Below are 24,485 nucleotides of genomic sequence, written 5' to 3'. Positions count from 1 at the left end.
CGTGCGTGTGCGTGCGTGTGAGTGTGTGCATTTTGCCCCAGAGAGGTGTACGTCTCCAGAGGAATCTTCTCTGAGCAGGCAGCTGCGTTACATAGGAATGAATGCTGAATTCTGGTCTTTGGGAAAGGAGTTGGGCTGGAAACTGGCTTGTACCAATTTCAGAGCTCTCTGCTTTGGAATTTTCACTCCTCTGTCCTGGAGGAAAGAAGGAAAGAGGCCGGGTGCGGCGGCTCACGCCTGTAATCCCAGCACTCTTTGAGGCCAAGGCGGGAGGATCACTTGAGCTCAGGAGCTCAAGACCAGCCTGGGCAACATGATGAATCCCCATCTCCACTAAAAATACAAAAATTAGTCAGGTGTGTTGGTGCACACCTGTAATCCCAGCTACTTAGGAGGCTGAGGCAGGAGAATCGTTTGAACCCTGGAGGCAGAGGCTGTAGTGAGCCAAGATTGCGCCACTGCATGCCAGCCTGGGCGGCAGAGTGAGATCTCCAAAGGAAAGGAAGGGAGAAAGGGGAGGGAAGGGCTGGGTGAGGCGGCTCATGCCTGTAATCCCAGCACTTTGAGAGGCCAAGGTAGGTGGATCACGAGGTCAGGAGTTCAATAACAGCCTGGCCAACATGGTGAAACCCCGTCGCTACTAAAATATACAAATTAGCTGGGCATGGTGGCGGGCACCTGTAGTCCCAGCCACTCCGGAGGCTGAGGCAGGAGAATTGCTTGAACCCGGGAGGCAGAGGTTGCAGTGAGCCGAGATCACGCCACTGCACTCCAGCCTGGGTGACAGAGCAAGACTGTCTCAAAAAAAGAAAAAAAAAGAAAGAAAGGGGAGGGAAAGAAAGAGAGAGAGGAAGAAGAAGAAGAAGAAGAAGAAGAAGAAGAAGAAGAAGAAGAAGAAGAAGAAAGAGGAAGAGGAGGAAGAAGGAAGAAAAAGAAGAGGGAAAGAAGAAGAAGGAGAAGGAAAGAGAGAAAAAGAAAAAAGAAGTGTGTTGGTGTCCAGAAGAAGGGGTCGGGGGGAGGAGGAGGAAGGAGAAGAAAAAGGAGAGAGAGAGGGAGAGGGAGAGGGAGAGGGAGAGGTAAGAAAAGAAGAAAAAGAAGAAAGAGCATCCTGGCTAACATGGTGAAACCCCGTCTCTGCTAAAAATACAAAAAAAATTAGCCAGGCATGGTGGCGGGCGCCTGTAGTCCCAGCTATTCAGGAGGCTGAGGCAGGATAATGGTGTGAACCTGGGAGGCGGAGCTTGTAGTGAGCCGAGATCGTGCCACTTCACTCCAGCCTAGGCGACAAAGCAAGACTCTGTCTCAAAAAAAAAAAAAAAAAAAAAAAAAGAAGAAGAAGAAGAAGAAAGAGAAAAAAGAAAAAAAGGAATTTGTTGGTGTTCAGGACTGAAAAGACCAGAAGTAGCGGGGTTCAGCAGGACCCAGAGAGACTGTCTCTCTGCTATTCTTGGCTCTGTGATGGCACACTGGACCCATGGCCACTGGCCGGGCTGGACTATTCTGGTGGAGAATGGCCATTCCAAGTCCTCCTCGATCTTCCACCAGTCCTTTCGCAGGAATAGTAGGAGTGCTGAGAGGGTTGAAAAACGGAGAGCATCGGCCACTCCGGAGCCTGCTCCACAGATCCAGCGTGGGGTGGGCTGGCCCAGGTCATGCCTCTTGGCTCCAGCAGGAGGGTGGGCTCACCCCTGGCTCCCCTCATCTCTGGAACTAGACCCACCTTTGCTCCCTCCAAGTGAGCCCAGGGCTAAAGTTTCCCTGGGGCCAGGGGAGGGATGGGAAGGATTTGCTAATTTCCTTCAGAATAGATTCCAATTTTTTTTTTCTTGCTCTGTTGCCCAGGCTGAAGTGCGGTGGTTCGATCATAGCTCACTGCAGCCTCGAACTCCTGGGCTCAAGCGATCCTCCCTCCTCAGCCTCCCCAGTAGCTGGGACTACAGGTGTGTGCCACCATACCCAGCTAATTTTTACATTTTTTGTAGAGAGGGAGTGTTGGATGTGGTAGTGTGCACCTGTAGTCCCCAGCTACTTGGGAGGCTGAGGTGGGAAGATTGCTTGAGCTAAAGAGTTCATAGTGAGCAACATAGTGAGACCTCATCTCTACAAAAAATAAAGAGAAAATTAGTTGGGGGTGGTGGCGTGCACCTATAGTCCCAGCTACTCAGGAGGTTGAGGTGGGAGGATCACTTGAGCCCAGGAGTTTGAGGCTGCAGTGAGCTGTGATCATGCCACTGCACTCTAGCCTGAGTGACAGAGCAAGATCCTGTCTCAAAAAATAAAGTAAAATAAAATAATCAGTCAACAACAGTGATTTGTCTTCAAGCTGCCCTCCTCTTCGGCTCTCAAGGCAGTTTGTGAAGTGTCTAGGATAGGAATTTTCCAGAAGGGCTACAAGCTCAGGGAGGTTAAGTACCATTTCCTGGGTTGCACAGCCAGGGCTGGACTGCAGGGCTAACATGCTGGCTACTGGTCTCCATATCTAGAGGTTTTCTGTGGCCACAGTGTGAGTGCTCAGCCTAAACCCTCCCCCTGCCCTTTGACACAAGCTAGGTAATGGGCACTGCTAGGGGACATCAGGGTAGAGCAGTTGGGTCTCAGTCTTCTCTTCTGTGAAATGGGTAGGGTGTGAGTTGAAAAGGGCAGGACTGACTGGGCACGGTGGCGCACGCCTGTAATCTCAGCACTTTGGGAGGCTGAGGCAGGTGGATCACGAGGTCGGGAGATCGAGATCATCCTCGTCAACATGGTGAAAGCCCGTGTTTACTAAAAATACAGAAAAAAGGCCAGGCGCGGTGGCTCATGCCTGTAATCCCAGTACTTTGGGAGGCTGAGGCAGGCGGATCACAAGGTCAGGAGTTTGAGACCAGCCTGGCCAACATGGTGAAACTCCATCTCTACTAAAAATACAAAAAATTAGCGGGGCGTGGTGGCAGGCGCCTGTAATCTCAGCTACGCAGGAGACTGAGGCAGGAGAATCGCTTGAACCCAGGAGGTGGAGGTTGCAATGAGCTGACATTGCGCCACTGCACTCCAGCCTGGGTGACAGTGAGAGACTCTGTCTCAAAAAAAAAAAAAAAAAAAAAAAGAAAAGGGCAGGACCTCCTGAAGTGTACTCCAACTATCTAAGGGGTCACTGGCTGGGATGGAGTTAGGACAGAAGTATAGACAGGATGGGGCCTGGCGCGGTGGCTCATCCTGTAATCCCAGCACTTCGGGAGGCTGAGGTGGGTGGATCACTTGAGGTCAGAAGTTCAAGACCAGCCTGACTAACATGGTGAAACCCTGTCTCTACTAAAAAACAAACAAAAAAGCCGGGTGAGGTGGTGGCACGTGTCTGTAGTCCCAGCTACTTGGGAGGCGGAGGCAGGAGAATCGCTTGAACCCGCGAGGCAGAGGTTGCAATGAGCCGAGATAGCACCATCGCACTCCAGCCTGGGCAACAAGAGCAAAACTCTGTCTCAAAAAAAAAAAAGAGGTATAGACAGGATGGAAAGTGTAATGGGAATTAGAAATGTCCTCCTAGGGCCGGGTGTATGGCTCATGCCTGTAATCCCAGCACTTTGAGAGGCTGAGGCAGGAGGATAGCTTGAGGCCAGGAGTTCAAGACCAGCCTGGGCAACATAGTGAGGCTCCATTTCTAATTAATTAAAAAAATTTTTTAATTAAAAAAAAAATAGAAATGTCCTCCCAGGCAGGGCCAGGTGGCTCACACCTGTAATCCCAGCACTTTGGGAGGCCAAGGCGGGAGAATCACATGAGGCCAGGTATTCGAGAACAGCCTGGGCAACATGGCAAGACCCCCCCCATCTCTACAGAAAAAATAAAAATAAAAAATAAGACCAGGCATGGTGGCTCATGCCTGTAATCCCAGCACTTTGGGAGGTCAAGGCAGTGGATCATCTGAGGTCAGGAGTTCAAGATCAGCCTGGCCAACATGGCAAAACACTGTCTCTACTAAAAATACAAAAATTAGCTGGGCATGGTGGCACGTGCCTGTAGTCCCAGGTACTCGGGAGGCTGAGGCAGGAGGATCACTTGAACCCAGGAGGTGGAGGCTGCAGTGAGCTGAGATCATGCCACAGCACTTCAGCTTGGGCAACAGGGCGAGACTTCATCTCAAAAATATATAAATAAATAAATGACCTCCCACCAGCACCAGGAAAGTTGCACCACAAATGTATCTTTAAAGTGTCCTTTGGCATGCAGATTATTTTGTCACCTCAAGGACTCTTTAAAGATACATTTGTGGTGCAACCTTCCTGGTGCTATTAAGAAGATATTTATTAATTTCTTTATTTGAGTCAGGGACACCAGACCCCCGTGACATGCAATTTACCTACATAACAAACCTGCACATGTACCCCTGAACCTAAAACAGCAGTTTAAAAAAGTATAAAGAAAAATAATAATAAAATGCAGTATTCCACTGTTTAAAAAAAGTGTCTTTTTTTTTTTTTTTTGAGACAGGTTCTCACTCTGTCGTCCAGGCTGGAGTGCAGTGGTGCCATCTCGGCTCACTGTAACCTCCGCCTCCCAGGTTCAAGCGATTCTCTTGCCTCAGCCTCCTGAGTAGCTGGGATTACAGGCACCCGCCACCACGCCCGGCTTATTTTTGTATTTTTAGTAGAGACAGGGTTTCGCCATGTTGGCCAGGCTGGTCTTGAATTCCTGGCCCCAAGTGATCCACCTGCCTCGGCCTCCCAAAGTGCTGGGATTACAGGCGCGAGCCACCGCGCCCGGTCAGAAGTGTCCTTTTTCTGCTATTGCCTGAAAACTTACCAACTCTCAAAGTAAGGCTGCCTCTGACCTGCCAACCTGGGACACTCTGATTGGCTGCTGGTGATGTCACAGGAATCTCTGGGAGATGATTGGTGGGTGAGAGCCCCTAGGTCAGGTGGAAGGAGGGCTTGATGGTTAGGGCTGGTGTCTGTGGCATGTTCACAGAGGCCGACCCAGGAGCTAGCTGAGGACGAACAGGTGCCTAAGGGGCCCCCATCTTTGTTGGGGCGACCCCTCCTCCTAACCCCACTCACAGCAGCCAGCGATGACCATGGCCCCTTCTCACTTGATAGCATCTGGGAGCCTCCTGAGGCTGGGAGATGGTCCTAGCTTTGGAGATACGGACCCTTCTCATCCCATAGGGGAAGAGATTTCCCGGGGAGCCACAGGGTGGGCGCCAAGGCTGGGAGCTGGTCTCAGATCTGTCGGGTCAGTACCCCCAGGCCCAGGGGGCCGTTCACATGGGATGCCACGCACAGTGCACCTGAGTGCTGTCTCCTGCAGATCATGCCAGAGTCCCGCGCCTCTGGCACGAGATGCAAGCCCGGGCCCCTTCCACCCCTTGCTCAGTTTCCCCTTCCTGTTCCCATCACTGTCTGCCCCAGGATTTTATTTCATGACCATTCCCAGGTGGCACCGGCCCAAGGACTGTTTCCCAAAGACTGAGCCAAGATACCGCCGGCCTTTCAGGAGGAGCCTTGAATTCATGAATGGACACAAAGAAGCGGCCAGGGCCAAGCGGAGAGGGGGAGAGAGGCTTAGCACGGCCGGGGCCAACTTGGCCCTGCGTGGTCCCTTGCCTCTGTGGGACAGACGGACAGAACCCCCTTTGTGTAGGAGCCCGGGCAAATCTCTCTAGTCCTCTGTCCAAGGGACTCAGGGTCGCCACTGACAGGCACCAGCCCAGCCTGGGAGGGGTGGCTGCAGCCGCGTTCCGGGGCCCGGGCTCATTCATGAAAGGGGTCAGGCTTCTTTCTGGGGGCCATAGACCCCAGCTGGGTCAGGCCAGAGAGAGAGAGGGAGGAATTGCAGAAGCTGAGCTCTGAGACTGGGCCTGGCTCCTGCCAGACTTCGGAGGAGCGAGCCGGGGGAGCTGGGGTGTGCCGGACCCTGCACCCAGGTCAGGATGCTCAACATGCCAGGCCTCAGGAACCCCTTCACACCCCATTAGTCAGTCCTCACTACCGTCAAGGGCAGCCACTCTCCTGGCGTCATCGGACCTTCAACAGACCTGCGCTGCCTGTTCTTGAAATTTATAGAAATAGATTGGGCCAGGTGCGGTGGCTCACGCCTGTAATGCCAGCGCTTTGGGAGGCCAAGGCAGATGGATTGCTTGAGGTCAGGAGTTCGAGACCAGCCTGGCCAACATGGCAAAACCCCGTCTCTAGTAAAAATACAAAAAAAATTAGCCAGTGTGGTTCTGTACACCTGTAGTCCCACCTACTCAGGAGGCTGAGGCAGGAGATTGCTTGAACCTGGAAGGCAGAGGTTGCAGTGAGCCGAGATTGTGCCACTGCACTCCAGCCTGGGCAACAGCGCAGGACTCCATCTCAAAAAAAAAAAAAAAAGAAAGAAAGAAAGAAATAGATTGGAAGTGTGTGCACCGCCATTTGACATTTGTCTGCAGTCTGCAGAGTGTCCTTATTTCTTCTGAAAGCTGTAATTCATTAATTCTCATTACTATCTAGTGTTCCATTGTGTGAATATTTCTATGCTAATTCTACCATGGTGGGCATTTGGGTAGTTTCCAAGACTTTTTTTGTTTTCTGAGACTAGGTCTCTCTCTGTCGCCCAGGCTGGAGTGCAGTGACATGATCATAGCTCACTGTTGCCTCAAATTCCTGGGTTCAAGCTATTCTCCCACCTCAGCCTCCTGGGCAGCTGAGCCCACAGGTACACACCACCACACCTGGCTAATTTTTAAGTTTTTTTTTTGTAGAGAAAGGGTCTTGCTATGTTGCCCAGGCGTGTCTTGAACTCCTGGCCTCAAGCAGTCCTCCTGCCTTCCTAGTGCTGGGATTACAGGCACGAGCCACCGGGCCCAGCCTCCAGGATTCCTTTTACCTAGCACCTCCCCTCCTCAACTTTGTTTTTTTTGGGTTTTTTTTTGAGACGGAGTCTCGCCCTGTCACCCAGGCTGGAGTGCAGTGGCACGATCTCAGCTGACTGCAACCTCCATCTCTCTAGTTCAAGTGATTCTCCTGCCTCAGTCTCCCGAGTGGCTGGGATTACACCACCATGCTCAGCTAATTGTTTTGTATTTTTAGTAGAGATGGGGTTTCACCATGTTGGCCAGGCTGGTCTCCAACTCCCGACCTCAGGTAATCCACCCGCCCCAACCTCCCAAAGTGCTGGGATTACAGACGTGAGCCATCGAGCCCAGCCTCCCCTCCCCAACTTTGATGCAGCTTGTTTGATGTCATCTGGCCTTGAGTGTTGATTTCAAAACTTGACTTTATTTAAAATGTTTTTTATTTGATAGGATTTTAAAAAGATCATTGAGGTAGTACATGAACATTGTAGCTGGTCAAGTAACACACAAATATAAATAAAATAACATTTCTCATGCCTGTCTCCCCCAGTCTCTCCTCTGCTACAGCCAAAGGTTGGCTTTGCTTTCTTTCATACCTTCTGCCTTTCCAAGTCGACAACCTGGCCTTGCCCCTTGCTGTGTTTCGAATGTTTGTCTCTTCGAAAACTTATTCTGAAACTTGATCCCCGTTGTAACAGTATTAAGAGGGTGGGAAATTTGACTGTGGTATTGGAGGGGTGGGACCTTTGGGAGGTGATTAGGATTAGCTGCGGTCTTGAGGGTGAGGCATTAGTGGCTTTAGAGAGGAGAAAAAGAGACTCGAGTTAGCACATACAGGCCCCTCACCACGGGATGCCCCACACTGCCTCGGGATTCTACAGCATCCTCAGCAGCAAGAAGGCCCCCACCAGACACAGTCCCTAGATCCTGGACTTCCCAGCCTAAAGAGCTGTAAGAAATTAAATTGTTGGGCCGGGCGTGGTGGCTCATGCCTGTAATCCCAGCACTTTGGGAGGCTGAGGTGGGCGGATCACGAGGTCAGGAGTTTGAGACCAGCCTGACTAACATGGCAAAACCCCGTCTCTACTAAAAATACAAAAATTAGCCTGGCATAGTGGTGGGCACCTGTAATCCCAGCTATGGGGGAGGCTGAGGCAGGAGAATCTCTTGAACCGGGAGGTGGAGGTTGCAGTGAGCTGAGATCGTGCCATTGCACTCCAGCCTGGGCAACAAGAGCAAAACTCCATCTCAAAAAAAAAAAAAAAAAAAAAAAAAAGAAAGAAAGAAAAAAAGAAAAAAAAAAGAAAAAGAAATTAAATTGTTTTCTTAGGACCAGGTGATGTGGCTCATGCCTGTAATCTCAGTGCTTTGGGAGGCCAAAGGAGGAGGACTGCTTGAGGCCAGGAGTTTGAGACCAGCCTGGGCAACAATAGTGAGACCCCATCTCTACAAAAAAATGTTTAAAAATTAGCTGGATGTAGTGACGCACACCTGTAGTCCTAGCTACTCGAGAGGCTGAGGCAGGGTGGGATCACTTGAGCCCTGGAGTTTGAGACCAGCCTGGGCAACATGGCGAGATTCTGTCTCTACAAAAAATTAAAAATTAGCTGGGTATGGTGGTGCATGCCTGCAGTCCCAGTTACTTGGCAGGCTGAAGCAGGAACATCGCTTGAATCCAGGAGTTGGAGGCTGCAACAAACTATGATTGTGCCAGTGCGTTTCAGCGTGAATGACAGGGCGAGAACCTGTCATTATTTTCTCTAAAAAACAAAACAGCAAAAAATAATTTATAATTTATAATAATTTCCCTTTCTTTCTTCCTTCCTTCCTTTCTTCCTTTCTTTCTTTCTCTTTCTTTCTTTTTCTTTCTTTTTTTCTTTTTGTGACAGAGTCTCTCTCTGTTGCCCAGGCTGGAGCACAGTAGTGCAATCCCGGCTCACTGCAACCTCCACCTCCCGGATTCAAGTGATTCTCCTGCCTCAGCCTCTCAAGTAGCTGGGATTACAGGTGCGCGCCACTGTGCCTGGCTAATTTTTGTATTTTTAGTAGAGATGGGGTTTCGCCATGTTGGCCAAGCTGGTCTCGAACCCCTGACCTCAGGTGATCCACCCGCCTCAGCCTCCCAAAGTGCTGGATTGCAGGCATGAGCCACCATGCCCGGCCCACAATAATTTCTTTATAAATTACCCAGTCTCAGGTATTCCAGCAGAAGATGGACTAAGATACCCTTTAAAGACTGTGTGGGCTGGGCATGGTGGCTCACGCCTGTAATTCCAACACTTTGGGAGGCCGAGGCAGGTGGATCACTTGAGGTCAGGAGTTTGAGACCATCCTGACCAACATGGTGAAACCCCGTCTCTACTAAAAATAAAAAAAATTAGCCAGGTGTAGTGGCAAACACCTGTCATCCCAGCTACTTGGGAGGCTGAGGGAAGAGAATTGCTTGAACCCGGGAGGCGGAAGTTGCACTGAGCTGAGATCGCGCCATTGCACTCCAGCCTGGGTAACAGACTGAAACTTTGTCTCAAAAAAATAAAATAAAATATTCTGTGGCAAACATTTCCTGTATAATTTTAGCATTTTTTAGGCTGGTTGTGATGGCTCATGCCTGCAATTCCAGCTCTTTGGGAGGCTGAGGCAGGAGGATTGCTTTAGCCCATGAGTTCAAAACCAGCCTGAGCAACACAGTGAAACCCCATCTCTACAAAATAAATTAGTAATGAAATAAAAATAACACTTTTATTGTAGTTACATGAGTAAAATTTGAATACAATCTTATAAAGATTCAAACAACACAAATCAAATGAAAGACTCTTTATCTCCCACCCAATCCTAAAAATTAAAAAAATAAGGGAGGGGGGCAAAGTCTTCTGTGACCAGCACCCCCAAACTCACCAATCTCCCTGTTTTCTTTCAAGTCTATTTCTATGCATTTATGTTTCTAAAATGTTGGGGTGTGTGTGTGTTTTACACTAATGAAATCATGTTGTGTATATAATTTTATTACTTGATTTTTTTCATTTGATTTTGATGAACATCTTTGCATTGTATGTGGTTACACTTTACATTTTTTTTTCCTTTTTTTTTTTTTTTGAGACAGAGTTTCATTCTCGTCACCCAGACTGGAGTGCAGTGGCACGATCTCAGCTCATAGGAACCTCTGCCTCCCGGGTTCAAGTGATTTTCCTGCCTCAGCCTCCCGAGTAGCTGAGATTACAGGTGCCCACCACCACGCCTGCCTAGTTTTTGTATTTTTAGTAGAGATGGGGTTTCACCATGTTGGACAGGCTGGTCTCGAACTCCTGACCTCAGGTGATCTGCTTGCCTCGGCCTCCCAAAGTGCTGGGATTGCAGGCATGAGCCATCGCGCCCGGCCCAAAATTTTTTATTTTGAAATAATTATAAATGCACAGGTAGTTGCAAGAATGGTAGAAAGATCTTGAGAATCCTTTCTCCAATTTCCCTAGTGGAACATCTTACATAATTCAAGTACAGGGTCCAAAGCAAGAAACTGACATTGGAACCACTCCACAATGCCAAGCATCATGGTCTAGCACCATCAACGTATACAATTTTTTTGGTTTTTTTTTTTTTTTTTTTTGAGACAGGGTCTTGCTCTGTTATTCAGGCTGGAGTGCAGTGGCTCAATCATGGCTCACTGCAGCCTCAACCTCCCTGGGCTCCAGTGATCCTCCCACCTCAGCCTCCTGAGTAGTTGGGAGTATAGATGCATGCCACCACGTCTGGCTAATTTTTTTATTTTTTTGTGGAAATAAGGTCTCACTGTCTCTGCCCATTTTTTAAATGCTAAAAAAATAATAATAATAAAGAAACTTCTAAGCATGCCAATATCCAGGCTTTACCCCAGACCGAATAAACTGAAATCTCTGGGTGTGGAGCCCAGTCGTCAGTATTTTATTATTTTTTGAGACAGGGTCTCACTCTGTGGCCCAGGCTGGAGTGCAGTGGCACGATCATAGCTCACTGCAGCGTCGACCTCCTGGCTCATATGATCCTCTCGCCTCACCCTCTGAAGTAGCTGGGACTACAGTCGTGCCCCACCATGTATAGCTAGTTTTTTTTTTCTTTTTTTGAGGCAGAGTCTCGCTCTGTCTCCCAGGCTGGAGTGTGGTAGCGCGATCTCGGCTCCGTGCAACCTCTGCCTCCCGGGTTCAAGAGATTCTCCTGCCTCAGCCTCCTGAGGAGCTGGAATTACAGGTGTGCGCCACCATGCCTGGCTAATTTTTGTATTTTTAGTAGAGATGGGGTTTCACCATGTGGGCCAGGCTGGCTTTGAACTCCTGATCTCAGGTTATCCGCCCACCTCAGCCTTTCAAAGTGCTGGGATCACAGGCGTGAGCCACCCCGCTCGGCCTTAAACCGTATTCTTTATGACACCTGCTGGCTAGGTAATATTATTCCCGTTTACATACTTGGAAGCTGCAGCCCAGAGACGTTAAGCAATTTTCCCTAGCTCACACAGCGGTCAACTGCCCATGCAGGCATTTTCTGCCCAACAGTGCCAAGCTCCAAAGCCTGTACCTCCTCAAGTTCAGGGTGAGAATTCAACATTCTCTCCTCGTCTCCTGCCAGCATCTGGCTCTGGGTCCTGGCTCAGTTTGGGAGTCCTCCACCAAGCCATGGCCATGTGCTCATGTAAGCAGTAAGGGTTGGCTACAAAATGAGGAGTCTGTTCTCCAGGGAGGAGGAAGAAAAGGCCACTTCCCTCCTTTAGTTTAACCAGCCACAGCCTGCTGGAAACGTCGGCTCTTTCGAGAGAAGTTTCCCACCGTCGAGGCTGCCTCTCTGACTGCCACCTCTGTTCTAACACAGTCTCAATTTTATCTACGCATTTCACTTGTTAAACATGCATCCCTGCCAGGCCCAGTGGCTCACACCTGTAACCCAGCACTCTGGGAGTCAGAGGCGGGAGGATTGCTTGAGACCAGCAGTTTGAGACCAGCCTGGGCAACATGGCAAAACCCTGTCTCCGCTAAAAATCCAAAAAAATTAGTTGGGTGTGGTGGTGGAAAAAATAAAAGCATTGTGGGCCGGGCATAGTGGCTCACGCCTGTAATCCCAGCACTTTGGGAGGCCGAGGTGGGCAGATCACTTGAGGTCAGGAGTTTGAGACCAGCCTGGCCAACATGGCAAAACCTCATCTGTAGTCAAAATTCAAAAATTAGCTGGGTGTGGTGGCGGATGCCTGTAATCCCAGCTACTTGGGAGGCTGAGGCAGGAGAATTGCTTGAACATGGGAGGGAGAGGTTACAGTGAGTTGAGATTGCACCATTGCACTCCAGCCTAGGAGACTGTCTCAAAAAAAAAAAAAAAAAAAGGCATTGTGGCCGGGCACAGTGTCTCATGCCTGTAATCCCAATACTTTGGGAGGCTGAGGCCAGAGGATCACTTGAGTCCAGGAGTTTGAGACCAGCCTGGGCAACATATCAAGAGCCTGTCTCTACAAAAAATTTAAAAATTAACCAGGCATGGTGGTGTGTACCTGTGGTCTCAGCTACTTGGGAGGCTGAGGCAGGAGGAATGATTGGGCCTCGGAATGCGAGGCTGCAGTGAGCTATGATGACACCACTGCACTCCAGCCAGGGTGATAGACCCTATCTAAAAAAAAAAAAATGCATTTATTATCCCTCAACTGGAGAATGAATGAACAAACTCTGGTATGTCCATGCAAAGCAATACTGCTCAGCAATAAAAAGGAAGGGACGTGCAACACCAGGGAGGAGGAATCTCAGATGCTCCCTGCCCAACAACAAAGCCAGATGGCAAAGGGGATGCAGGAGCAAAGACAGGGATGGAAGAGTCGAGAATAATTACCAGGAAAGATAACGTTACATTTAGGAGGGGCCATTTTCTTTTAGTATAAAACAAATTTACCTTCAATACATTTTGTTTTATTTTGAGACAATCATGCTCTCCCATGCAGGCTGGAGTGCAGTGGCACGATCTTGGCTCACTGTAGCCTTGACCTCCTGGGCTCAAGTGATCCTCTTGCCTCGGCCTCCCAAGCAGCTGGGACGACAGGCACATGCCACCACACCCAGGTAATTTTTTAATATTTTGTAGAGACCGGGTCTTGCTATGTTGCCAAAGCTGGTCTCAAGCGATCCTCTCGCCTCGGCCTCCCAAAGCGCTGGGATTACAGGCGTGAGCTGCCGTGCCTGATCACAATACATTTTAAGAGAAAACAAGTAAATCCCTTTTTGGCATTCAGAGTACAGTTTCTTTTCACTTTCAACTTTATACAACAGATTCTCTTTAAACATAAAAAAAAAAAAAGGCTGTAAAACTGTATGACTCCACATAGGTGACATTTTGGAAAAGGCAAAGCACGGAGACCAGGCCTGGTGGCTCACGCCTGTAATCCCAGTGCTTTGGGAGGCCAAGGCAGGTGGATCACCTGAGGTCAGGAGTTCAAGACCAGCCTGGCCAACATGATGAGACCCCCTGTTTCTACTAAAAATACAAAAATTAGACAGGGGTGGTGGCACATGCCTGTAATCCCAGATACTCAGGAGGCTGAGGCAGGAGAATCACTTGAACCCAAGAGGTGGAAGCTGCAGTGAGCTGAGATCATGCCACTGCACTTCAGTCTGGGCGACAGAGCAAAACTCCTTCTCAAAAAAAAAAAAAAAATGCACCACAGAGGACAGGGGACAGGGCCTTAGCTGCCCGGCTGGCACTGGGCAGAGGCTTCAGGTGCAAAGAGGGGGCAGGAGAGAATTCTGGGGGATGGTGAATCTGTTATTCACCTTGATGGTGGCGGTGGCAGTTACAGGACTCTCCGTATTTGTCAAAACTCACAAAACTATAGCAAAAAAAGAGGAAATTTTGCTTTATGTAAATTATAAAGCAAATTAAAATATGAATTCACTTTTTCTTAAAATGCCTGACTAGAGGTTTAGGGAGGAAAGAAATGAGGTCGCAAGGAGTTAAAGGGAAAGTGCTCGGGTCTTCAGGGTGGTGGGAACACTGTTTCTTGGTCGTTTGCCCACGGCCCTGTCTCCGGGCCTCCCTCTCCCCTCTCCGCCAGCATTCAATGGCCACAGTGACTGAGAGACAAGGAGAGTCTTGTGGAACTCAGAAATAAATAAATAACTGCCCGCCCCAGGTCGCCACGGCAACCGTGACATCACCCTGGGACCCATGTGGCTGGCACCCTTGGTGGTTTCCTGGTGTTTGTTACAGGAGCAGGGGAAGCCAGGGCTGCAGGCCTGCACCTGGTGGCAGGTAGAGGGAGAGACCTCGGGGAGAATAGGTTTCCCACCTTGGAGACCAGTGCAAACCACACCCTCATAGTTGGTCTCCGGACTCCCTGCCCAGTTGGTGGGAAGCGTAAATTGGCCCGGCCTCCTGGAGGGCTTTTGGGCAGAGTCTCTCTAAATGAATACTGTGAGGCCGGGCACGGTGGCTCATTCCTGTAATCTCAGCACTTTGGGAGGCCAAGGGAGGACGATTGTTTGAGGTCAGGAGTTTGAGACCAGCCTGGGCAACAGAGCAAGACCCAGTCTCTACAAAAAATTAAAAAATTAGCTGGGTGTGGTGGCATGTACCTGTAATCTTAGCTACTCAGGAGGCTGAGGCAGGAGGATTGCTTGAGCCCAGGAGTTTGAGACCAGCCTGAGCAACACAGTGAGACTCTATCTCTACAAAAATTAAAAAGTATTAGCTGGGCATGGTGGAGTGCACCTGAAGAGGGAGGATCCGTGGAGCCCAGGAGTTCAAGCTTGCAGTGAGCTGTGATCACACCACTGCACTCCAGCCTGGGTGACAGAGTGAGACCCTGTTTCAAAAGAAAAAGGTAAAGAGGCCAGGCGCAGTGGCTCATGCCTGTAATCCCAACACTTTGGGAGGCTGAGGTGGGAGGATTAACTGAGGTCAGGAGTTTGAGACCAGCCTGGACAACATAGTGAGACCTCACTTCTACAAAAATAAAAATAAAAATAAATTAGCCGGGTGTGGTGGTGTGCACCTGTAGTCCCAGCTACTCGGGAGGCTGAGGTGGGAGGATTGCTCGAGCCCAGGAGGTCGAGGCTGCAGTGAGCTATGATAGTGGGGCCACAGAGCAAGACCCTTTCTCAAAAAAACAAAAACAAAAACCAACAACAAAGGCCGGGCACAGTGGCTCACGCCTGTAACCCCGGCACTTTAGGAGCCAGAGACAAGTGGATCACCTGAGGTCAGGAGTTCGAGACTAGCCTGGCCAACATGGTGAAACCCCATCTCTACTAAAAATACAAAAAATAGCCAGGCCTGGTGGCGGGCGCCTGTAATTCCAGTTACTCAGGAGTCTGAGGCAGGCGAGTCACTTGAACCCAGGAGGCGAAGGTTGCAGTCAGCCGAGATCGCGCCACTGCACTCCAGCCTGGGTGATAGAGCAAGACTCGGTCTCAAATTAAAAAGAAATAAAAATAAAGAAAAAAACAAGCACGACATGCACCTGTGTTTTTGTCCGAGGGCTGGAATCACAGGTGACGACACAGCAGCGGCTTACAAAAGCAGATATTTCTTCGCATTGCCACAATCTCTGCCTCCACCGTCACATGGCTGTCGTCCCCGTGTGTCTCTGTCTTCATTTGATGTTGTCCTCTCTGTCTCTTTCCTCTTTTTTTTTTGGAGACAGAGTCTCGCTCTTGTTGCCCAGGCTAGAGTGCAGTGGCACGATCTTGGCTCAGCACAACCTCCGCCTCCCAGGTTCAAGCGATTCTCCTGCCTCAGCCTCCCGAGTAGCTGGGATTACAGTCGCCCACCACTACGCCTGGCTAATTTTTGTATTTTTTTTTAGTAGAGATGGGGTATTGCCGTGTTAGCCAGGCTGGTCTTAAACTCCTGACCTCAGATGATCCACCCACCTCCGCTTCCCAAAGTGCTGGGATTACAGGTGTGAGCCACCATGCCCGGCCTGTTTTGTCTTTTTAGGGAACCCTACTCATATTGGATGGGGGCCCACCCTACTGCAGTCTGGGCTCTTTTTTTTTTTTTTTTTTTTGAGATGGAGTCTTGTTCTGTCTCCCAGGCTGGAGTGCAGTGGCGGCGTGATCTTGGCTCACTGCAACCTCCACCTCCTGGGTTCATGCCATTCTCCTGCCTCAGCCTCCAAGTAGCTGGGACTACAGGTGCCCGCCACCACACTCAGCTATTTTTTTTGTATTTTTAGTAGAGATGGGGTTTCACTGTGTTAGCCAGGATGGTCTAGATCTCCTGACCTTGTAATATGCCCGCCTCGGCCTCCCAAAGTGCTGGGATTACAGGTGTGAGCCACCATACCCGGCCCTGGCCTCATCTTAACTAATGAAATCTGCTCCAATCCTGTTCCCAAATGAGGTCCCCTTCTGAATACCAGGAGTTAGGGCTTCGATGTGTGAATGCTGGGAGGACACGGTTCAACCCATATCACTATTTTCGTTGTTATTACTTATTAGTTAATAAGCCAGTCTTGGCTGGGCACAGTGGCTCACGCCTGTAGTCCTAGCACTTTGGGAGGCTGAGGCAGGCAGATCATGAGGTGAGGAGATTGAGACCAACCTGGCCAACATAGTGAAAACCTGTCTCTACCAAAAATACAAAAATTAGCCGAGTGTGGTGGCGGGCGCCTGTAGTTCCAACTGCTAGGGAGGCTGAGGCAGGATAATCACTTGAACCCGGGAGGCAGAGGTTGCAGTGAGCCAAGACAGCGCCATTGCACTCCAGCCTGGGCGACAGAGCAAGACTCCGTCTCAAAAAAAAAAGAGACTCCATCTCAAAAAACAAACAAACAAACAAACATAAGCCAGTCTTGGCCACAGGCAGCTTCCTGGCCCACCTTGAGGAAGGTGGGTGGATGGGCGGCGTGTTCTGGGCTCCTGGGGGGGGCTTCAATGGGGTCCCCAGGGTGGGTCCTCCATGTTCTCTGTGACTGTAATTCCAGTTTTCAGTCTGCCCCTGCGAGGCTGCTGCGGCCGTGGGAGATGGGGGTTGGTGTCTCTCTGGCTTGCTGCAGAAGCCTGGCCCCAGGGGTCTTAGTTTTCTCATCTGTCGAATGGGCTCGGTGTGACCCTGGTGTTGAAGTCACTTGACTGACTGGAATCACGTGACCATGGAGTCCCAGCTGGATGCAGGCAGAGAGCAGTCACCCGAACCTGGAGACCCCTGGACTCACCCAGGCGCCAAGTGTCCCAGGGCAAATCACAGTGTCAGTGCCTGGCAGACCCCCCTGCCCAGCTTTCACTCCTGCCCTGCCCATACCAGCATATGTAAAGCCAGCATACACAATATGCTCCATAAATGAGCCCTGAACTATGCTAGCATACAGCTAGCACACAGAAGGTGCTCAATCAATGCCCCAGGTCTGTACTAGCGTGGAGCCAGCACACAGAAGGTGCTTAATAAATGCACCATGAGCTGCACTTAGCATGGATCCAGCACACAAAAGGTGCTTAATAAATGCTTCATGAACTATACTTAGCACGGAGCCAACACATCAAAGGTACTTAATAAATGCTCCATGAACTGTACTTAGCATGGAGCCAGCATACAGAAGGGGAGCCAGCACACAGAGGGTGCTTAATAAATGCTCCATGAGCTGCACTTTTCATGGAGCCAGCACACAGAAGGTGCTTAATAAATGCTCCATGAGCTGCACTTACCATGGAGCCAGCACACAGAAGGTGCTCAATGAATGCTTCATGAACTATACTTAGCATGGAGTCAGCACACAGAACCTGCCTAATAAGTGCTCCATGAGCTGTACTTAGCATGAGGCCAGCATACGGAAGGTGCTCAATGAAGGCTCTGTAACTGTACTTGACCTGGATCCAGCATACAGGAGGTGCTTAACAAATGCTTCATGAACTGTACTTAGCATGGAGCCAGCACACAGAAGGTGCTCAGCGAATGTTCCAGGGTCTTGATGAGCGTGGAGCCAGCACACCGGAGATGCTGAATAAATGCTCCATGCACTCCTGATATGACGCCAGCATACAGAAAGTGCCCAATAAATGCTTAGTGACCCATATATACTGCATGGAGTCATTTGTCCTGAACCATACACTCATTTGTTTGGGGGGCAGTCTACAAAGTAACCATCGGACCTGAGGGGAAAGTTTTTGGTGTGTTTAGTGGAGTTTAACCCCATTGGGTGGCTGCTGCTTGGCAACGTCCAGGTGAGCTGATTCCGAGCCTGTGTGGGCCGAAGACATGCACGCTGCTGTGGTCCCGGCTGCTGGTCCGACAGCCAGGTGTGTGCAGACCTTAGACCCAGTTCTTGGATGCCTCTTCCCTGCCCAGCCAACCCTTGTCTGTCTTCCCAGACTGACTAAGTCCCCGAGCACAGACTTGCGTCAAGGCAGAACCAGACGTCGGAGTCAACCAGGGCTGGGTTGAGTCCCTTCCCACCAGGTGATTTCTTTCCCTCACCTCCCTGCCCTGTAGCTTCTCCATCTGTAAAATGGCCAATAGCTCCACGTGGTGCTCTGGTGAGGATTAAACAGAGGTGATAACGCTTTGAAGATTCTAAAAAGACACCAAAACATCGGGAATTTTTGTTTTGTTTGTTTTGTTTTGGTTTGGTTTTTTTGAGAATGAGTCTCTCTCTGTCACCCAGGCTGGAGTGCAGTGGCACAATCTCGGCTCACTGCAACTTCTGCCTCCCGGGTTCAAGTGATTCTCCTGCCTCAGCCTCCCAAGTAGCTGCGATTACAGGCCTGTGGCACCACGCCTGGCTAATATATATATATATTTTTGAAATGGAGTCTCACTCTGTCGCCCAGGTTGGAGTGCAATGGTACGATCTTGGCTCACTGCAACCTCCACCTCCCTCAAGCGATTCTTCTGCCTCAGCCTCCCAAGTATCTGGGATTACAGGCACATGCCACCACTCCCAGCTAATTTTTGTATTTTTAGTAGAGATGGGGTTTCACCATGTTGACCAGGCTGGTCTCGAACTCCTGGCCTAAAGTGATCCGCCTGCCTCGGCCTCTTAAAGTGCTGGGATTACGGGCGTGAGCCACTGCCCCTGGCCAGGAACGTTTATTTTTAAGATAAAGTCATGTAGCAATTTCACCTGAGCTCAGCAGAAATAAGTGCGCGTGTTCACCAAAAAATATGCACAAAAAAGTTCATGGGCCGAGTTCTCCATAATATCCCCAAACAGGAGTGTCCCCCTGCAGTGGGTTGGAGAATTCACTTGTGGTCTGTTCACCCAGTGGAATACAATAGCCATGAAAACTACCAGTTGCTTGGCCGGGCGCGGTGGCTCACGCCTGTAAATCCAGCACTTTGGGAGGCCGAGGCAGGCGGATCACGAGGTCAGGAATTCGAGACCATCCTGGCTAAAACAGTGAAACCCCGTCTCTACTAAAAATATAAAAAATCAGCTGGGCATGATGGCGGGCGCCTGTAGTCCCAGCTACTCAGGAGGCTGAGGCAGGAGAATGGCGTGAACCCAGGAGGCGGAGCTTGCTGTGAGCCGAGATCGCACCACTGCACTCCAGCCTGGGCGACAGAGCACGACTCCGTCTCAAAAAAAAAGAAAAAAGAAAAAAAGAAAACTACCAGTTGCTGTACCCCAAAATGTGGATGAATCTCGCAAAAATCACGTTAAGCAAAAGAAGCCAGACAGAAAACAGCGTGTTCTGCGGGAGTTTATTGAGCAAGTTCAAGAACAGGGGAAACAAGTCCAAGAAGACAACGGCAGAGGGTGGTTTCCCTGGGAAGAGGTACCCATGGGAGGGGGCACTGGGCACTTTCTTGGGGGTGAGGAGTGAGCCGTAGCTCTTCCTGGATGGTGGTTTAGTGGGTCTACGCATCTGTAAAAATCCTTCAAGCTGCCCCTTGCAGAGCTATATTGTCTGTAAGTTGTACTTAGAGAAAATAAGAAACAGGAAATGAGGCCGGAAGCGGTGGCTCACGCCTGTAATCCCAGCACTTTGGGAAGCCAAGGTGGGAGGATCGCTTGGAGTTCGGGACCAGCCTGGGCAACGTGATTAAACCCTGTCTCTATAAAAAATACAAAAAAATTTAGCCGGGCATGGTAGATTGTGCCTGTAGTCCCAGCATCTCAGGAGGCTGAGGCGGGAGGATCACTTGAGCCCAGGAGGTGGAGGCAGCAGTGAGCCATGATTGCACCACTGCACTCCAGCCTGAGAGACAGAGTGAGACCCCGTGTAAGAAAAAAAAAGCCCGGCGTGGTATCTCACGCCTGTAATCCCAGCACTTGGGAAGGCTGAGGCGGGCGGATCACCTGAGGTCAGGAGTTTGAGACCAGCCTGGCCAACATGGTGAAACCCCTTCTCTACTAAAAATACAAGAATTAGCCTGGCGTGGTGGCACACGCCCAGCTACTCAGGAGGCTGAGGCAAGAGAATTGCTTGAACTTGGGAGGCAGAGGTTGCAGTGAGCTGAGATCACACCACTACACTCCAGTCTGTCGACAGAGCGAGACTCCATCTCAAAAAATAAAAATAAAAAAGTTAAATGAAGAGAATGCCTTATCTAGCATTTAGTAAAATTTTGTAACAAATACTGCATTGGGGATTAGGCACAAAATATTGGATAATCCAAAACCATTTAATGATCGGAAAGAGTGAGGGAGGGGAGGAAGAAGACAGAGAGAGAGGGGGAGATGAAAAAGGGAGAAGGGGAGTGCTCTTCTTTTCCTACCAGTAGGAAGTAAGGTCTTCAGGCTTCCTGGGAATTCGGATGGCACCTCTTGCCCAGCGGAGCTTCCTGGAATTCTCCCTCTCCTTCCAGGTTCATGAACCACCGAGTCCCTGCCCACAAGAGGTACCAGCCCACAGAGTATGAACATGCGGCCAACTGTGCCACCCATGCTGTGAGTTGGCTTTTGGGGGGCTCAGGGCTGAGATGGGGACACTTCCGGGGAAGGGGGGTGGGGGAAGTCACCTCCTTCACGTATGTCCTAAGTGGCCTGTTCCTCGGGTCTTCTGTGGCCCTCAGGGAAGGCCACTGTGGCGTCTCGAGGGAAGGCCACTGGGGTAAACTGGACTGCAGTGCTGGCCATGTCTCTGTCTTGCTCTAAGAACCTTCGATGGGGCCGAGCATGGTGGCTCATGCCTATAATTCCAGCACTTTGGAAGGCTGAGGTGGGCAGATCACCTGAGGTCAGGAGTTTGAGACCAGCCTGGCCAACATGGTGAAACCCCGTCTCTACTAAAACTACAAAAATTAGCTGGGCATGGTGGCGGGCACCTGTAACCCCAGCTACTCTGGAGGCTGAGACAGGGGAATCTCTTGAACCCAGGAGTCGGAGGTTGCAGTGAGCCGAGATCATGCCATTGCATTCCAGCCTGGGTGACAGAGCAAGACCCTGTCTCAAAAACAAACAAACAAAAAAGAACCTTCGATGGCTCCCTAGTACCTAGTATGGCATCCTGTCACTCTAGCAAGCTCCTAGCCCGTCTGTCCACGCACCTCCCACCACCATGCTCTTGCTCTCAGGCTCAAACACTTGAATCCCTCACTGTTTCCTAAATGGAAGACATGACTCCATGCCTTTGCACGGGCTGTTCCTGTCACCGGGAATATTTCTTGTCTCCACTCCAGCCCTGCCTATGAAACCCTTTCCATCATTCCCAAGCCTTGCTGAAATGTTCCCCAACAAAGTCTTCCCCTCTGCCCAGATGCTGGGAAGCTCTGAGCCAGTGCCTGCCTCCCCAGCCATTGTAGCCTTCACGGCCCATCACCATGCCAGCTGTCCATCACACATTCATTCAGCAAACAGTTCCTGGGTACCCTCAAGGCAGCAGGCAGTGCTCCAGGCCCTGGCAATGCAGACATGAGTTCAAACAGAACCCCTGCTGGATTCTTTGATATCTCAGGACATCTCAGCACACCTGGCACAGGGAAGTGCCCAGATAGCGTGTGTGGAGGTGAATTAATTCTCAAACCCCCCGCCCTGACCTGTTAGACCCCGGGGGCTATTGTGTGTTTGGCCTGAGCCCAGGCCTTTAACAATGGGCCACCGGTGTCATAGAAAGGAGTGGCTGGTGCTGATTCGAACTTAGTGTGTGCCTGGACCACACTTGGTTCTGTTGTTGTTGTTGTTGTTATTGTTTTGTTTTTGTTTTTTTTGAGACGAAGTCTCGCTCTGTTCCCCAGGCTGGAGTGCAGTGGTGCGATCTCGGCTCACTGCAAGCTCTGCCTCCTGGGTTCATGCCATTCTCCTGCCTCAGCCTCCCGAGTAGCTGGGACTACAGGCGCCCGCCACCAAGCCCGGCTAATTTTTTGTATTTTTAGTAGAGACGGGGTTTCACCGTGTTAGCCAGAATGGTCTCGATCTCCTGACCTCGTGATCCACCCGCCTTGGCCTCCCATAGGGCTGGGATTACAGGTGTGAGCCGCCGCCTTGGCCTCCCATAGGGCTGGGATTACAGGTATGAGCCGCCGTGCCCAGCCCACACTGGGTTCTAAGTTTGCATTTTCTCAGTCAGTCCCTTTTGAGCAGGTGCTCTGCTGAGCAGAGACTGGTTCTCACTGGCTCATCTCTGAAGTCCCATGCTGTGTGCATCGTAGGGGCTCGGAAAATATTTGAGAATGAACACATGATTCCCTCTTTTGCAAGGGAGGAAACTGAGGCTTGGGTGAGAGAATCTGCCCAAAGCCACAAGCTAACTCATCGACACAAGTCTACACTGCACCCCAAAAATAAAGCTCTAGGAAGAGAAGACCTGCCTTTGAATCCCAGCTCCATCATTTAGTGGCCCTGAGCCTCAGTTTCCTTATCTGTAGAATGGACATCGTAAGAGCCACTCCCAAGGGTGGCTGTGAGTGTTGCTGAAGGCACCATGTTGGCACAATGTAGGCACATTGACAAGTGTGTTTCTTTGACAGCACACTCCTGAGGAAAGAGGTGCTGAATTGGCCGGATGCAGTGGCTCACACCTGTAATCCCAGCACTTTGGGTGGCTGAGGCGGGCGGATCACTTGAGGTTGGGAGTTCGAGACCAGCCTGGCCAACATGGTGAAACCCCATCTCTACTAAAAATACAAAAATTAGCCAGGTGTGGTAGTATGCGCCTGTAATCCCAGCTACTGAGGTGGCTGAGGCAGGAGAATCACTTGAACCCAGGAGGCAGAGGCTGCAGTGAGCCAAGATTGTGCCACTTTACTCCAGTTGAGTGCAGGACAGAATGAGTGAAACTCGTTTACAAAAAAAAAAAAAGTGCTGAATTGATTCTGCCATCATACCTGGGAGAAGCTGTGAGGCTGGGGACAAAAACCTATTTATGATCTCCTCTGACCACTGATGCTATAAACACAAGGCATATTCATAGTCCAGCAGGCTCCAGGAAGTGGGTGACTGAGTCACAGGTACCAGGCCCCTGCTGTTAACTTATTCATTTGTTGGATGCTCCCTCAGTTAGCACCTATGAGCACAGGGTGAGGGCAGGGTGATGGGCATGTATCATTTCATTCCTGAGGACATGTCCTGTGCTCACAGGTTTGTGGAATGAATGAATGAGTGAGAGAGGAACTCAATGAATACTAGGCATGGTAGGTGATCGCAAAATAGCACAAACTAGGAGCCAGGCGCAGTGGCATGTGTCTGTGGTCCCAGCTACTCAGGAGGCCAAGGCAAGAGGATCATGTGAACCCAGGATGTCGAGGCTGCAGTGAGCTATGATTGTACCACTGCACTCCAGCCTGGGCAACAGAGAGCGATTCCATCTCTAAAAAAAAATGTATATATATTTTAAAATAGCACAAAACATAATTGGAGTCTACAGCCTAATGAGAAGCATGTCCCCAAATTATGAAGTAGCATGGATAGCTGCTGTTTATTTATTTTTTTTTAAATGGAGTCTTGCTGGGACTACAGGTGTGCGCCACCACGCCTGGCTAATTTTTGTATTTTTAGTAGAGATGGGGTTTCGCCCTGTTGACCAGACTGGTCTCAAACTCCTGGCCTCAAGGGATCTACCTGCTTCAGCCTCCCAAAGTGCTGGGATTACAGGCATGAGCCACTGCACCTGGCCAGTTTTTGTTTATTTTTTTAAGATGATGTAATAAGATTGATGAAAGTGATTTCTTTTTTTCTGAGATGGAATCTCTCTCTGTCACCCAGGCTGGAGTATGGTGGCGTGATCTTGGCTCTCTGCAACCTCCGCCTCCTGGGTTGAAGCGATTCTCCTGCCTCAGCCTCCCAAGTAGCTGGAATTACAGACGCATGCCACCATGCCTAGCTAATTTATGTATTTTTAGTAGAGAGGGGGTTTTACCATGTTGGCCAGGCTGGTCTTGAACTCCTGACCTCAGGTGATCCTCCTGGCCTCAGCCTCCCAAAGCGCTGGGATTACAGGTGTGAGCCACCGCACCCGGCCAGAAATGATTTTTTAAAGTTATAATTCCATCCCCTACAGCAAGGCTTCTATCTTCCCTGTTGATGTTCAGTCTGCCATACGCAGATGGACATGTGGGTGGCTGAAGGCCTCTTATTAAGGAGCCATCCCATTCTGGTGCATTGCTGTTGACCTGTCCCCATCCGGCGCCCAGCCTGGGTGTCGGGGAGGCTAGCGGGATACCTCTTTCCTTTGGGACTCACCTGGGCTGATCTTGCAGGCAGATTGCGTTCAGTGAGTCCTGGAGGATGCACACGGTAGGGGCTGAATTCCCACCTGCCTACTTTTTTTTTTTTTTTTTTTTGAGACAGAGTCTTGCT

At 50.1% G+C, this 24,485-nt stretch overlaps 1 protein-coding gene across 4 annotated transcripts in view; it reads left to right on the top strand.

Moving 5' to 3' along the window:
• The window catches only part of MMD2 (monocyte to macrophage differentiation associated 2), a 66,943-nt gene that overhangs the window by 13,098 nt on the left and 29,360 nt on the right, over positions 1-24,485 (top strand). For all 4 annotated transcript variants that reach the window (NR_072989.2, NM_198403.4, NM_001270375.2 and 1 more), the window contains exon 2: positions 20,558-20,639. Coding sequence is in view for 3 of the 4 variants with exons in the window: in NM_198403.4 (NP_940685.3) it covers positions 20,558-20,639 (82 nt within the window). In the remaining variant the exon portion in view is untranslated. The remainder of the gene's footprint in view (positions 1-20,557; positions 20,640-24,485) is intronic.

This window comes from Homo sapiens, chromosome 7, assembly GCF_000001405.40.
Source record: "Homo sapiens chromosome 7, GRCh38.p14 Primary Assembly".
Lineage (NCBI taxonomy): Eukaryota > Metazoa > Chordata > Mammalia > Primates > Hominidae > Homo > Homo sapiens.
This window is presented reverse-complemented; position numbering and strand designations above follow the sequence as displayed.